A 16326-nucleotide genomic window follows, 5' to 3' on the forward strand; every position below is an offset into this window, starting at 1 on the left:
TAGGTTGTCTGCTTGCTCTGATGATATTTTATTTACCTGTACAGAAGGTCTTCTGTTTAATTAGATTCTATTTGTCAATATTTACTTTTGTTGCAATTGCTTTTGATGTTTTTGTCATTAAATCTTTGCTCATGTCTATGTCCTGAATGGTATTGCCTAGGCTTTCTTTAGAGTTTTCATAGTTTTTGGTTTTACATTTAAGCCTTAATCCATCTTGAGTTAATTTTTGCATAAGATATACAGAAGGGGTCCAGTTTTAATTTTCTGCATATGGCTAGTCAGTTATCGCACCACCATTTATTAAGTAGGGAATCCTTTCCCCATTGCTTGTTTTTGTCAGGTTTGTCAAAGATCAGATGGTTGTAAAGGTGTGGTCTTATTTCTGAGTTCTCTATTCTGTACCATTGGTCTATATTTCTGTTTTTGCACCACTACCAAGCTGTTTTGGTAACTGTTGCCTTGTAATATAGTTTGAAGTCAGGTAGCATGATGCCTCTAGCTCTGTTCTTTTTGGTTAAGATTGTCTTGGCTATATGGGCTCTTTTTGGTTCCATATAAATTTAAAAATCATTTTTTTCTAATTCTGTGAAGAATGTTAATGGTAGTCTGATGGGAATAATGTTGGAACTATAAATTACTTTGGGCTGTAAGGCCATTTTCATGACATTGATTCTTCCTATGTATGAGGATGAAATGTTTTTCCATTTGGTGTGTCCTCTCTGATTTCCTTGAGCAGTAGTTTGTAGTTCTCCTTGAAGAAGTCCTTCACTTCCCTTGTTAGCTATATTCCTAGGTATTTTTTTCTCTTTGCAGCAATTGCGAATGGGAGTTCATTCATGATTTGGCTCTCATCTTGCCTGTCACTGGTGTATAGAAATGTTTGTGACTTTTGCACATTGATTTTGTGTCCTGAGAATTTGCTGAAGTTGCTTATCAGCTTAAGAAACTTTTGGGCTGAGATGATGGAGTTTTCTAGATATATGATCATGTCAGCTGCAAACAGATAATTTGACTTCCTCTTTTCCTAATTGAATACTTTTTTATTTCTTTCTCTTTCCTGATTGCCCTGGCCAGAACTTCCAATACTATGTTGAATAGCAGTGGTGAGAGAAGGCATCCTTGCCTTGTGGCTGTTTTCAAGGGGAATGCTTCTGGCTTTCAAGGGGAATGCTTCTGGCATTCAGTATAATGTTGGCTGCAGGTTTGTCATAAATGGCTCTTATTGTTTTGATGTATGTTTCTTCAATATCTAATTTATTGAGAGTTTTTAACATGAAGGGATGTTGGATTTTGTTGAAGGCCTTTTCTGTATCAATTGAGATAATCATGTGGGTTTTGTCTTTAGTTCTGTTTATGTGATGAATCACGTTTATCGATTTGCATATGTTGAACCAGGCTTGGATTCCATGAATAAGGCAAATTTGATGGTGCTGGATAAGCTTTTTGATGTGCTGCTGGATTTGCTTTGCCAGTATTTTATTGATGACATTTGCATCTAGGTTCATCAGGGATATTGGCCTGAAGATTTCTTTTCTTTTCTTTTCTTTTCTTTGAGACGGAGTCTGGCTCTGTCACCCAGGCTGGAGTGCAGTGGCACAATCTCGGCTCACTGCAAGCTCTGCCTTCCGGGTTCACACCATTCTCCTGCCTCAGCCTCCCATGCAGCTGGGACTACAGGTGCCCACCACCACACCTGGCTAATTTTTTGTATTTTTTTAGTAGAGACGGGGTTTCACTGTGTTAGCTAGGATAGTCTCGATCTCCTGACCTTGTGATCCGCCTGCCTCAGCCTCCCAAAGTGCTGCGACTACAGGTGTGAGCCACTGTGCCTGGCCAATTTTCTTTTTTTGTTGTATCTCTACCAGGTTTTGTTATCAGGATGATGCTGGCCTCATAAAATGAGTTAAGGAGGCCCTCCTTTTTAATTGTTTAGAATAGTTTCAGAAGAAATGGTACCAGCTCTTCTTTGTACCTCTGGTAGAATTCAGCTGTGAATCCATCTGGCCCTGGGCTTTTTTTTTGGTTGGTAGCCTACTAATTACTGCCTCAATTTCAGAACTCATTGTTGGTCTATTCAGGGATTCACCTTCATGGTTCAGTCTTGGGAGTGTATATATGTCCAGGAACTTGTTCATTTCTTCTAGATTTTCTAGTTTATTTGCATAGATGTGTTTATAGTATTCGCTGATGGTTGTTTGCATTTCTGTGGGGACAGTGTTAATATCTCCTTTATCATTTTTTATTGTGTCTATTTGATTCTTCTCTCTTTTCTTCTCTATTAATCCAGCTAGAAGTCTACTTATTTTATTAATTTTTTTCAAAAAACCAGCTCCTGGATTCACTGATTCTTTCAAGAGTTTTTTTAATCTCTATCTCCTTCAGCCCCACACTGATCTTGGTCATTTCTTGTCTTCTGCTAGCTTTGGGGTTTGTTTGCTCTTCGTTCTCTCATTCTTTTAGTTGTGATGTTAGGATGTCGATTTGAGATATTTCTAGCTTTTTGATGTGTCAATTTAGTGCTATAAATTTTCCTCTTAATACTGCTTTAGCTGCATCCCAGATGTTCTGGTACATTGTCATTTTGCTCTCATTAGTTACCAAGAATTTCTTGATATCTACCTTAATTTCATTATATACCCTGAGTTATTCAGAAACAAATTGTTCGATTTCCATGTAGTTGTGTGGTCTTGACTAGGTTTCTTAATCTTGAATTCTGATTTAATTGCACTGTGGTCTGAGAAAATGTTATTATTTCAGTTATTTTGCTTTTGCTGAGGAGCGTTTTACTTCCAATTATGTGATCAGTTTTAGAGTGAGTGCCATGTGGTGCTGACAAGAATGTATATTTTGTTGTTTTGGGGTGGAGAGTTCTGTAGATATCTCTCAGGTCTACTTCATCCAGAGCTGAGTTCAAGTCCTGAATATCTTTTTTTTACATTTTTTTGGTCTCGGTGATCTAATGTTGATGTTGGTGTGTTAAAGTCTCCCACTATTATTGTGTGGGAGTCTAAATCTCTTTGTAGGTCTGTAGGTACTTATTTTATGAATTTTGGTGCTCCTGTATTGGGTGCATATATATTTAGGATAGTTAGCTCTTCTTGTTGAATTGAACTCTTTACCATATGTAATGCCCTTCTTCATCTTTGTTTATCTTTGTTGGTTTAAAATCTGTTTTGTCAGAAACTAGAATTGCAAACCCTGCTTTATATTGTTTTCCGTGTGCTTGGTAAATTTTCCTCGATTTCCTTATTTTGAGCCTAGGTGTGTCTCTGCACTTGAGATGGGTCTCTTGAATACACACACAGATGGGTCTTTACTCTATCCAGCTTGCCATTCTGTGTCTTTTAATTGGGGCATTTAGGCCATTTACCTTTAAGCATAATATTGTTATGTGTGAATTTGATCGTGTCTTCATGATTCTGGCTGGTTACTTTGCAGATTTGTTAATATAGTTGCTTCATAGTGACATTGGTCTGTGTACTTCGGTGTGTTTTTGTAGTGGCTGGTAATGGTGTTTCTTTTTCATATTAAGTGTTTCTTTTGGGAACTCTTGCAAGGCAGGTCTGGTGGTGATGAATTCCCTCAGCATTTGCTTGTCTGAAAATGATTTTATTTCTCCTTCATTTATGAAGCTTAGTTTGGCCAAATATGAAATTCTGGGTTGAAAATTATTTTCTTTAAGAATATTGAATATTGGCCCTCATTCTCTTCTGGCTTGTAGGGTTTTCCCTGAAAGGTCTGCTGTTCATCTGATGGGCTTTCCTTTGTAGGTGAACTGGCTTTTCTCTCTAGCTGCCCTTAACATTTTTTCTTTTTATTTCAAATGTGGAAAATCTGATGATTATGTGTCTTGGGGTGGATCTTCTCATTGGGTATTTTACTGGAGTTGTCTGGATTTCCTGAATTTCAATATTGGCCTGTCTTTCTAGGTTTGAGAAGTTCTTCTGGATGATATCCTGAAGTATGTTTTTCAATTTGATTCCATACTCCTCATCTTTCAGGTGCCCCAATCAGTCATAAGTTTAGTCTTTTTACATAATCTCACAGTTCTCGGAGGTTTCATTTCTTTTCTTTTTTTCTCTCTAATCTTGTCTGCCCATCTTATTTCTGCAAGATAGTCTTTAAGCTCTGAGATTCTCTCCTCCACTTTGTCTATTTGGCTATTGATACTTGTGGTTGCATTGTAAAGTTCTCATGTTGTGTTTTTCAGCTCTATCACATCATTTATGTTCCTCTCTAAACTAGTTGTTCTGGTTAACAGCTCCTGTAATGTTTTATCATTGTTCTTAGCTTCTTTGCATTAAATTAGAACGTACTCCTTTAGCTCAGCAAAGTTCATTATTACCCACTTTCTAGAGCCTATTTCTGTCAATTCATCCATCTCAGCCTCAGCCCAGTTCTGTGCCCTTACTGAAGAGGTGTTGCAATCATTTGTAGGAGAGGAGACACTCTGGCTTTTTGAATTTTCAGCATTTTTACTTTATATTTTCTCATCTTAATAGGTTTATCTACCTTCAATGTTGAAGCTGTTGACCTCTGGATGGGGTTCTTGTAGGGTCCTTTTGTTGCTGTTGTTGTTTTGTTGCTGTTGCTTTCTGTTTGTTTGTTTTTCTTTTAACAATCAGGCCCCTCTTCTGCAGGGTTGCTGTGGTTTGCTGGGGGTCCACTCCAGACTCTATTCACCTGTGTCCCTCCTGCACTTGGAGGTATCACCAGTGGAGGCTACAGAATAGTAAAGATGGCTGCCTGCTCCTTCCTCTGGGAGCTCTTTCCCAGAGGAACACCAATCTGATGCTGGTGGGAATTCTCCTGTATGAAGTGTCTGGTGACCTCTGTTGGGAGGTCTCACCCAGTCAAGAGGCACAGGATCAGGGACCTGCTTAAAGAAGCAGTCTGACTGCCCTTTGGTGGAGCAGGTGTGCTGCACTGCGGGGGAATTTCACTCATCCAGACTGCCCTGATTCCTCAGAGCCCGCCGGGGGAAAGACTAACTCTGCTGATCTGTAGAGACCCTGGCAGTCCCTCCTCCCGGGGGTTCTGTCCCAGGGAAATCAAACTTCTGTTCCTAAACTCCTGGCTGGAGCTGCAAAAATTCCCACTGGGAGGCCCTGCCTGATGAGGAAGAATGAATCTGGGTCTCACCTAAGTAAGCAGCCTAGCCACGATCTGTCACAGCATCAATCTGGGTCTCAGCTAAATAAGCAGTCTAGCCATGATCTGCCACAGCCGTTGTGCTGTGCTGTGGGGAATTCCACACAGTCCAAACCGTCCAGTCTCCCCATTACTGACAGGGGAAAACAGCTGATGTGAGCTGCAGTGATGGTGGTCTTTCCTCTCCCCAGGAACTCAGTTGTCTTAGGTGGTCTCCAGCCTGCTGCCACAACCCGACCGGCCCGAAGAGTCTACACAACTCTGTGCTTGGGACCCAGGGTCCTGGTGGCGTGGGCTCATACGAGGATTTCCAGATCTGTGAGTTGCACAGATCCATGGGAAAAGCATGGTTTCCCTGGTAGGGTAGCATAATCACTATCTACCTCCCTTGGCTGCCGGTGGGAGTGCCCCTTACCCAGGATAGCTCCTGGGTGGGCTGTCGCTCCACACTGCTTTTCCTCTCTCTCCATGAGTCCTGACAACAGCCTAGTCAGTCCAAATGAGAAAACATGGACACCTCAGCTGAAGATGCAGGATTCACTCACCATATTTGTTCTTCTCAGTGGGATCCGCAGACCGGAGCTGCTTGTAATCGGCCATCTTATCTCATAGAATTTAGATGACAACATTCACGGTAAGAGAGTCTGGCTCACACCAAGCACTCACATAGCAAAATCCACAAAAGCAGCGTCAGCGTGCAATTTGATTTAAAGACAGATTGTTTTAATACAATTGAATAGGACCTATTATTATATTTTGGTTTGAGCCTGACCAGTTGATATAAGCAGGTGAAGTAAACTGGAGAACATATTTCCTAAAATGCAAAAGAAACTAGTAACTTATAATGAATACAGGAAATCACTTGAAATAAGTTTTAAACAAATTACACTCTTTTGCAATAGCTGTTCCGAAAGTTGAATATAAATTGAAATCACTATCAATACTGTCTCGTAGTATACGAAATCATTAGGGCACCTCTTCACCCATCAAGTTATTTTTACCAAGATTATTTTCATGTTATCATGACACATATAGAATGGAGAGAATTAGACGTTTTAGTGAGTAGATTAACATTAAGATTATTTTAAATATTTATCTAGATCATAAATATAAGGTATATTTCTATAATGATTTTGTAATCTGTGCTGTATCCTTACTCTTGATTTGGCTATGATTTCTCCCACATTCAACACAGAAGCAAAATTAAAAAGGAAGAAACTCAGTATGCTCACAAAATATTATGTTTAGCATCCCTATTTTAATGATTGAACATAACAGAGTGTATACTGTGAACGAAGACCTGGGCCTGTCCAGGATTTACAACTAACAAAGAACAAACCTCCTGGCCACTATTTCACTGTTTCCAACTGTGCCTGCAAATATCAAGTTGGGGGTTTATGTCTCACTTTAAACTTTGTCTCATTCCCTTAACCTTGTAATGTCATAGTTTCCTTATCAGTAAAATGAAGATGATAATTGCACTACTTCACCAGGTTACTTATAAAATTCAATTACATACTATATGAAGTATCAGACACAATGCATAGCATAAAGCAAGAATTCAAATAACTGTAATTTTATTCAGGGCACATGTAGAAATCACTCAGCTGGAGCATCACCTCTAAGCCTGTAACATAGAAAGCAAACATGTTTCTTCTGTGTTGAGCAACTTCTTTATTTCTAACTTTTATTTTAATTTCAAAGGTTCATGAGCAGGATGATCCAGCTTTCTTTTTCTCTTTTCTTTTTTTTTTTTTTTTTTTTGAGATGGAGTCATACTCTGTTGCCCAGGCTGGAGTGCAGTGGCACAATCTTGGTTCACTGTATCCTCTATCTCCCAGATTCCTGCCTCAGCCTCTCAGGTAGCTGGAATTACAGGCATGCACCACCATGCCCAGCTAATTTTTGTGTATATCTTGTTTTCAGTAGAGACATGGTTTCATCATGTTGGCCAGGCTGGTCTCAAACTACTGACCTCAGGTGATCCACTTGCCTTGGCTTCCCAAAGTGCTGGGATTACAGGTGGGATCCACCACGCCTGGCCAAGGATGATCAACTTCTTACTGTGACTAATGAATAGAATCCAGATGCTGAAGGGAGGGAGGGAAAAAGCACAGAGAGGTTGGCTGAGAATGAGTACTGATGAAATATAACTTGGTTAGAAGTACAGGCAAAAATAATAAACTCTGTCTGTTAGAGACAGTATTAATAACTTTTCACAGTTTATGTTTGATTCTAAGTCTTCTTGCCTTGACACTCTGTTGACTTATTTATTTTTTTTTATTTCATGGAACATCTTGCAATAAAAAACAGAAAAATGTCAAGCACGCAGCTACAGCAGTGTGAACTACTTTGAAGTTTGAAAGCAACCTGTGTAGGTAAGTCTGATTTTTATTTAATCATTAAAATCTTTAAGATCTTTCTGTTTTTTCTTTTTAAATTCCACACAATATATCATGTAAGGGGTTTCTAAACTTTCTGAGATATGCACTGTGAGCCAGCAAGTCTTTTCAGCCAAAAATAAATACAGAAATAAAATAAAACTCCCTAATGTTTAGAGATGATGAGCAAAGAATTAGATAAAAAAACATTAATTAGGATGGCCTGAAATGGTTTTATACTTAGTACAGACAATAAAAATAAATCATTTTCTGTGAGACTTATTCCTAGGCAAAAGTGTCAATGGATTGATATAAATATACTAAATATGTTGTTGATTTGTTGATATTACCCTTGGAGAAAATATAGATGATTATAAACAGTTCATTAGTTTTTACATATCTTTACTAAAACTCTGTGTGTAAATTAAATATAGAAGAGACAAATAATGGATTCCCATCTTGTTAGAGCAAAGGCTTACTCTCTCAGTCAGAAGATGAAAAATTGGACTTTGTTATTTAGGCACAAACCAATAGATTTTGTATATTTTTACAAGACAAATCTTTTTTTTTTTTTTTTTTAAGACGAAGTTGCACTTCCGTTGCCCAGGCTGGAGTGCAATGGCGCAATCTCAGCTCACTGCAACCTCCGCCTCCCATGTTCAAGCAATTCCCCTGCCTCAGTCTCCCAAGTAGCTGGGATTACAGGCGCCCACCACCATGCCCAGCTAATTTTTGTATTTTTAGTAGAGACGGGGTTTCACCACGTTGGTCAGACTGGTCTTGAACTTCTGGCCACAGGTGATCCGCCCGCCTAGGCCTCCCAAAGTACTGGGATTACAGGTGTGAGTCACCGCACCCAGCTGACAAATCTTATCAGTAATTGAATGTACTCTACCAATTTTAGATCAAATGACTGTCAAAAAAGATAACTATTTCCCAGTTTTTCACATTTAATGATTCACAGTTCAACTTTAATTCTGTTGTTGGTGAGAATGGTTATTCTTTTCTATTCTTTGTCTTTGAACTTCTAAGTTCATATGCATTTGTAATTTCAAGTTTAAAAGTACAGAGTTATAAAAGAAAATAAAACTCACATCTTTTCCCCACGTACATACATGTTCTGATAATCTCTGAATTATACCTAGTGAAGAGTGTGTTGTCTATTTTTTTCTTCACCATCTTTTTTTTTTTTTTTTTTTTTGAGACTTCTGTCATCCAGGTGGAGGGCAGTGGTACAATCTCTGCTCACTGCAACCTCCACCTCCTGGGTGCAAGTGATTCTCTTGCCTCAGCTTCCCAAGTAGCTGGGGGTACAGGTGCATTCCACTACAGTTGGCTAATTTTTGTATTTTTAGTAGAGTTGGGGTTTCTCTGTGTTGGCCAGGCTGGTCTCAAACTCCTGACCTCAAGTGATCCACCTGCCTCAGCCTCCCAAAATGCTGGAATTAGAGGCATGAGCCACCATGCACAGGCTTCACCATCTTTCTGATGCTGAGATCTACACATTCTATAACTTCTAAAAGCACTTCTGCTTCCAGGTTTTTATTTCCCTTGCCACTCAGAATTTAAATCAATTAATAAGATTCAATAAATCTTGAAATTGCAATACAAATTTAATGGTACATATTGACCTTCCATTTTGTTTTTTCAGGACAAGCTCAAGAGGGCTATCTAACGGCAGGAACAATGAGAACCATCATTTGATGGTTCTCCAAGACTTCTCCAAGAAGTCTACATCCCAACAGCACCTTATAAATAAATAGCCTCAGAAGAACAAGTGCTGCTATTCCCCACTGAAGACTTCCTTCTAGGCAACAATGCTTGTAGTGACAACAAGCAAGAGAAACAAGATTTTCAAATACTCAGTTCAATTTTTTCAATTAGATCTATGCCTGCAAGCTAATCAGCAAACCTGCAATAACCAGGAAAGTCCCTTTCTGGTCTGTTCAGAATCATTCCCTTTTAATCACAGCCCAAGTCCTCCCAATCTCTCTCCTGTGTGTGCTGTATGTATTTCTTTCAAACTCCTCCTGGAAACTTGGCCTTGACTTAGAGCTAGTTAGACCACAGGTCACCCTATCATCACTCCAGGAATGCTGCATGGAAGAGACCAGTGTGCAGAGGGGATCTCACTAACCTGTGCTCTGCTTTGCTGAAACCCAGCTCGGTTCTGGGCTCACCTCGGTTGTGAGATAGCAAGAATGTAATATCATTTCAGCCACTTCTTGTTTTTGCTTCTCACAATAGCTTGCTGACTGGCATAGATTTTATTAGAAACAGTCAACTTGATAACAATGATATTGTTATCAGTCAAAAATGATAACAGTAGTATTAATCAAATAATTATATTATTTTATATCACCGAATACATTGATCTATTCATAATATTGAATTTGTTATGTAATTTTATTTACTATATTTATTTTTGTATTTACAATATTTTCACTCAATTTTCATGTTTATTTAATATCATTGAAGATAAAATTGTCTATATTTTATTAGCATACTCTTATGTGTATTATATATTTTAAATTTTATCCATAGTTTATGATTATTTCTGTTTAACAAACATGTAAAATCGAATAATTTATTATGCATTTCCCTCTAAAATTATTTCCAACTACATACTACGTACCTGATATTGGACCTATATATCCTCCCAAATTCAAGAAGTAGTTTTCTTACTTAAATAAAATTGCCCATAACTAAAGAAAAAAGGTAGTGTTTCTTCTCATTGGTTTTAATTACAACTTTCCTCTTCCCTATAAAATCATTTTATGATTTGAGAATGACATTAACTTTATTATGCTATATTATTATAAAGGTGATTCCTGTTGATGGTAAATTTAATTTCAATCACAGGAATAGTACTTATAGTGTCATATCTGTCATCTTGATTTATAATTTCTGTTTCAAATGCTTTCTTACTTTTTTTACTTTCCATTTGTGATGTTATCAAAGTTATTTTTTTAAGGTCACTATACACTCTGCAGACACCCACTGATTTGAAAAATGTAAAGTTATTTTATTTTTATATTTTTACCAGTACTTGTTTTTACAACTTTAGGTAATCCTACTCCTTAAGTTAATAACGTTAGAAATTTTAAAATAAAGCACTACTAATGTATCCTTATAAAATAAAATAACTTGATACTTATCCTTCCAATTCTTGCTTCTAAAGCACACATTGGTTTGTATGACCTTGAATTTTTGTCACCAGCTCAAAAGGTAAAATGATAACAAATAGTATTAATCAAATAATTATAATTATTATTTTATATCTCCGAATACATTGATCTATTCATAATATTGCACTTGTTATGTAATTTTACTATATTTATTTTTGTACTTACAATATTTTCACACAATTTTCAAAACCATATTAATACAACTTTATCATTTGTAGATTCTTGTTTTGCTCAGTGACTCCAGTTGCTCAATAGCAGTCAGGGTCAAGTAGATTTTGTTTTAAAGGTCAGTATTCTTCCAGCATTTTTGATATCTTAGAGGATATTCTACATGGTCATCCCATAACAATTTGTCTGGCTACGGGATTATTTGTCACACTCACTTTCAAAAATAGTACTGTAAATGTTCAGTCATTCACTCATTTATTTATTCAAGAAATATTTGTGAAGTTAAATAACATATCAGGTAGTATGCCAGGAGCTGGAAATATCACAGTCTGGGATGAGAAAGAAGGAATTAAATAAAACTATCCCTCAAAATGAAATAACCATGAATTATATTGAGTGTTATATACAAAAAAGAGAGGCTAGTAATTGAAAAAATGTAAGGTCATCAGGGAAGCAGACTTCAAGCTACAGCTTAAAAATTGAAAGGAGCTAGCCACGGGATGAATTTCGAGAGTGGAGTTTCAAGAAGAAGAAAGAGCAAATCCAGTCTCAGGGCCTCCCTACACCATATGAGAAAATGAACTGCTATAATGGTAGACAGTTCAGTTATGGCCGAGTGTCAGAACAATAAGCATGGTGGCTAATCTGAATTCTGTTTCTTGTGCCTAGAGAAGCTAGTGAAGGGTTATAAGCAAACAGATACAACCTAATTTATGTTTTTGGGAGGCTGTGTGTGTGTGTGTATGTGTGTGTGTGTTTGTGCACCTGTGTGTTTGTTTGGTATAGTTGACACAGACTGTCCTATGGACAATTGATTAGAGACGGTAAATACATAAGTAGCAAGGCCAGATGGAAGGCCTTTACCCTGACAACTGCATCAAAGGGAGATGGAGAGAGACTAATGGCTTTGAAGAAGAATCTATAGGACTTGCTCAGAAATAAGTTGTATAGAATGAGCCAAAGGGAGGAATCCAATTTAAAATCATGTTTTCTTATTTGAGCAATTAGAAAAATAGTGGACCCAATTACTAAGGTGAGAAAAATTGCAGAAATAGCAGATTTAAAGGCTAAATCAATCTGCCTTTGAAAGACTTAATTGGTTCATAACCATGAGTATGTCTTCAATTCACCTTCAGGGACCAGAGTTCTAAATAAGAGTGATATATTCATCAACTGGGAAAGCCAGACCAAAAGATACTGGTTTTATATATCCTCAGACCATCTCTTTTATCCCTACTGTTTTGTAACTGGAGGAAAATTTTTCTAATTCACAATTGCTGCCACATTTGGAGAAATATTTGAAATACACAGGTTCCATTCTAAGATGGCTGAATAGGAACAGCTCCGGTCTGCAGCTCCCAGTGTGATGAACAGAGAAGATGGGTGATTTCTGCATTTCCAACTAAGGTACCTGGTTCATCTCACTGAAACTGGTTGGACAGTGGGTGCAGCCCATGGAGGGCGAACCAAAGCAGGGCGGGGTGTTGCCTCACCCGGGAAGCACAAGGGGTCCGGGGATTTCTCTTTCCTAGCCAAAGGAAGCCGTGACAGACTGTATCTGGAAAAATGGGACACTCCTGCCCAAATACTGCAACCAGCAGACCAGGAGATTCTCTCCTGTGCCTGGCATGGCAGGTCCCATACCCATGGAGCCTTGCTCACTGCTAGTGCAGCCATCTGAGATCAAACTGCCAGGCTGCAGCCTGGCAGGGGGGAGGGGCATCTGCCCTTGTTGAGGCTTGAGTTGGTAAACAAAGCAGCTGGGAAGCTCAAACTGGGCAAAGCCCACCGCAGCTCAACAAGGCTTACTGCCTCTATAGACTCCACCTCTGTGGGCAGGGCATAGCTGAACAAAAGGCAGTAGAAACTTTCACAGACTTAAACAGCCCTGTCTGACAGCTCTGAAGAGAGCAATAGTTCTCCCAGCATGGTGTTTGAGCTCTGAGAATGGACAGACTGCCTCCTCAAGTGGGTCCCTGACCCCCATGCGGCCTAACTGGGAGATACCTCCCAGTCGGGGCCGACAGATGCCTCATACAGGCAGGTGCTCCTCTGGGATGAAGCTTCCAAAGGAAGGATCAGGCAGTAATATTTGCTGTTCTGCAATATTCGCTGTTCTGCAGCCTCCACTGGTGATACCCAGGAAAACAGCATCTGGAGTGGACCTCCAGCAAACTTCTACAGACCTGCAGCTGAGAGACCTGTTAGAAGCATAACTAACAAACAGAAAGAAATAGCATCAACATCAACAAAAAGGACATCCATACCAAAACCCCATCTGTAGGTCACCAACATCAAAGACCAAAGGTAGATAAAACCACAAAGATGGGGGAAAACCAGAGCAGAAAAGCTGAGAATTCTAAAAACCAGAGTGCCTGTTCTCCTCCAAAGGATTGCAGCTCCTTGCCAGCAATGGAATAAAGCTGGACGGAGAATGACTTTGACGAGTTGACAGAAGTAGGCTTCAGAAAGTCGTTAATAACAAACATCTCTGAGCTAAAGGAGCATGTTCTAACCCATCACAAGGAAGCTAAAAACCTTGAAAAAAGGTTAGACAAATGGCTAACTAGAATAACAGGGTAGAGAAGACCTTAAATGACCTGATGGAATTGAAAACCATGGCACGAGAACTCCTTGACGCATGCACAAGCTTCAATAGCTGATTCGATTGATTGGAAGAAAGGATATCAGTGATTGAAGATCCAATTAATGAAATAAAGTGAAAATACAAGTTTATAGAAAAAAGAGTAAAAAGAAATGAACAAAGCCTCCAAGAAATATGGGACTATGTGAAAAGACCAAATCTACGTTTAATTGGTGTACCTGAAAGTGTTGGGGAGAATGGAACCAAGTTGGAAAACACTCTGCAGGATATTATCCAGGAGAACTTCCCCAATCTAGCAAGGCGGGCCAACATTCAAATTCAGGAAATACAGAGAACACCACAAAGATACTCCTTGAGAAGAGCAACCCCAAGACACATAATTGTCAGAATCACCAAGGTTGAAATGAAGAAAAAAATGTTAACGACAGCCAGAGAGAAAGGGCGGGTTACCCACAAAGGGAAGCCCATCAGACTAACAAGGGATCTCTCGGCAGAAACTCTACAAGCCAGAAGAGAGTGGGAGCCAATATTCAATATTCTTAAAGAAAAGAATTTTCAACCCAGAATTTCATATCCAGCCAAACTAAACTCATAAGTGAAGGTGAAATAAAATCCTTTACAGACAAGCAAATGTTAAGAGATTCTGTCACCACCAGGCCTGCCTTACAAGAGCTCCTGAAGGAAGCACTAAACATGGGAAGGAACAACTAGTACCAGCCACCACAAAAACATGCCAAATTATAAAGACCATCGATGCTAGGAAGAAACTGCATCAACTAACGAGCAAAATAACCAGCTAACATCATAATGACAGAATCAAATTCACACATAACAATATTAACCTTAAATTTAAATGGGCTAAATGCCCCAATTAAAAGGCACAGACTGGAAAATTGGATAAAGAGTCAAGACCCATCCATTTATTGTATTCAGGAGACCCATCTCACGTGCAGAGACACACATTGGCTCAAAATAAAGGGATGGAGGAAGATCTGCCAAGCAAACGGAAAGTAAAAAAAGCAGGGGTTGCAATCCTAGTCTCTGATAGAATAGACTTTAAACCAACAAAGATCAAAACAGACAAAGAAGGCCATTACATAATGGTAAAGGGATCATTTCAACAAGAAGAGCTAACCATCCTAAATATATATGCACCCAATACAGGAGGATCCAGATTCATAAAGCAAGTCCTTAGAGACCTACAAAGAGACTTAGACTCCCACACAATAATAATGGGAGACTTTAACACCCCACTGTCAATATTAGACAGATCAACGAGACAGAAGGTTAACAAAGATATCCAGGACTTGAACTCAGCTCTGCACCACGTGGACCTAGTAGATATCTACAGAACTCTCCACCCCAAATCAACAGAATATACATTCTTCTCAGCATCACATCGCATTTATTCTAAAATTGACCACATAATTGGAAGTAAAGCACTCCTCAGCAAATGTAAAAGAACAGAAATCACAACAAACTGTCTCTCAGACAACAGGAAAATCAAATTAGACCTCAGGATTAAGAAACTCACTCAAAAACCACACATTTAAAGCAGTGTGTAGAGGGAAATTTATAGCACTAAATGCCCACAAGAGAAAGCAGGAAAGATCTAAAATCGACACCCTAACATCACAATTAAAAGAACTAGAGAAGCAAGAGCAAACACATTCAAAAGCTAACAGAAGATAAGGAATAACTAAGATCAGAGCAGAACTGAAGGAGATAGAGACACACACACAAAAAAAAAACCCTCAAAAAATCAATGAATCCAGGAGCTGGTATTTTGAGAAGATCAACAAAATTGATAGACTGCTAACAAGACTAATAAAAAAGAAAAGTGAGAAGAATCAAATAGATGCAATAAAAAATGATAAAGGAGGATATCACCACAGAACCCACAGAAATACAAACTATCATCAAAGAATACTATAAACACCTCTACGCAAATAAACTAGAAAATCTAGAAGAAATGGATAAATTCCTGGACACATACACTTTCCCAAGACTAAACCAGGAAGAAGTTGAATCTCTGAATAGACCAATAATAGGCTCTGAAATTGAAGCAATAATTAATAGCCTACCAACCAAAAAAAGTCCAAGACCAGACAGATTCACAGCCAAATTCTAGCAGAGGTAAAAAGAGGAGCTGTTACCACTCCATCTGAAACTATTTCAATCAATAGAAAAAGAGGGAATCCTCCCTAACTCATTTTATGAGGACAGCATCATCCTAATACCAAAGCCTGGCAGAGACACAACAAAAAAAAGAGAATTTTAGATCAATGTCCCTGACGAACATTGATGCAAAACTCCTCAATAAAATACTGGCAAACTGAATCCAGCAGCACATCAAAAAGCTTATCCACCGCGATTAAGTTGGCTTCATCCCTGAGATGCAAGGCTGGTTCAACATACACAAATCAATAAACGTAATCCATCCCATAAACAGAACCAATGACAAAAACCACGATTATCTCAATAGATGCAGAAAAGGCCTTTGACAAAATTCAGCAGCCTTTCATGCTAAAAACTCTCAATAAACTAGATATTGATGGAACGTATCTCAATATAATACAAGCTATTTATGACAAACCCACAGCTAATATCATACTGAATGGGCAGAAACTGGAAGTATTCCTTTTGAAAACTGTCGTAAGTCAAGGATGCCCTCTCTCATCACTCCTATTCAACATAGTGTTGGAAGTTCTGGCCAGGGCAATCAGGCAAGAGAAAGAAATAAAGTGTATTCAATTAGGAAAAAAGAAAGTCAAATTGTCCCTGTTTGCAGATGATATGACTGTATATTTAGAAAACCCCATGGTCTCAGCCC

The sequence above is a fragment of the Homo sapiens genome, chromosome 5 (assembly GCF_000001405.40).
Source record: "Homo sapiens chromosome 5, GRCh38.p14 Primary Assembly".
NCBI lineage: Eukaryota > Metazoa > Chordata > Mammalia > Primates > Hominidae > Homo > Homo sapiens.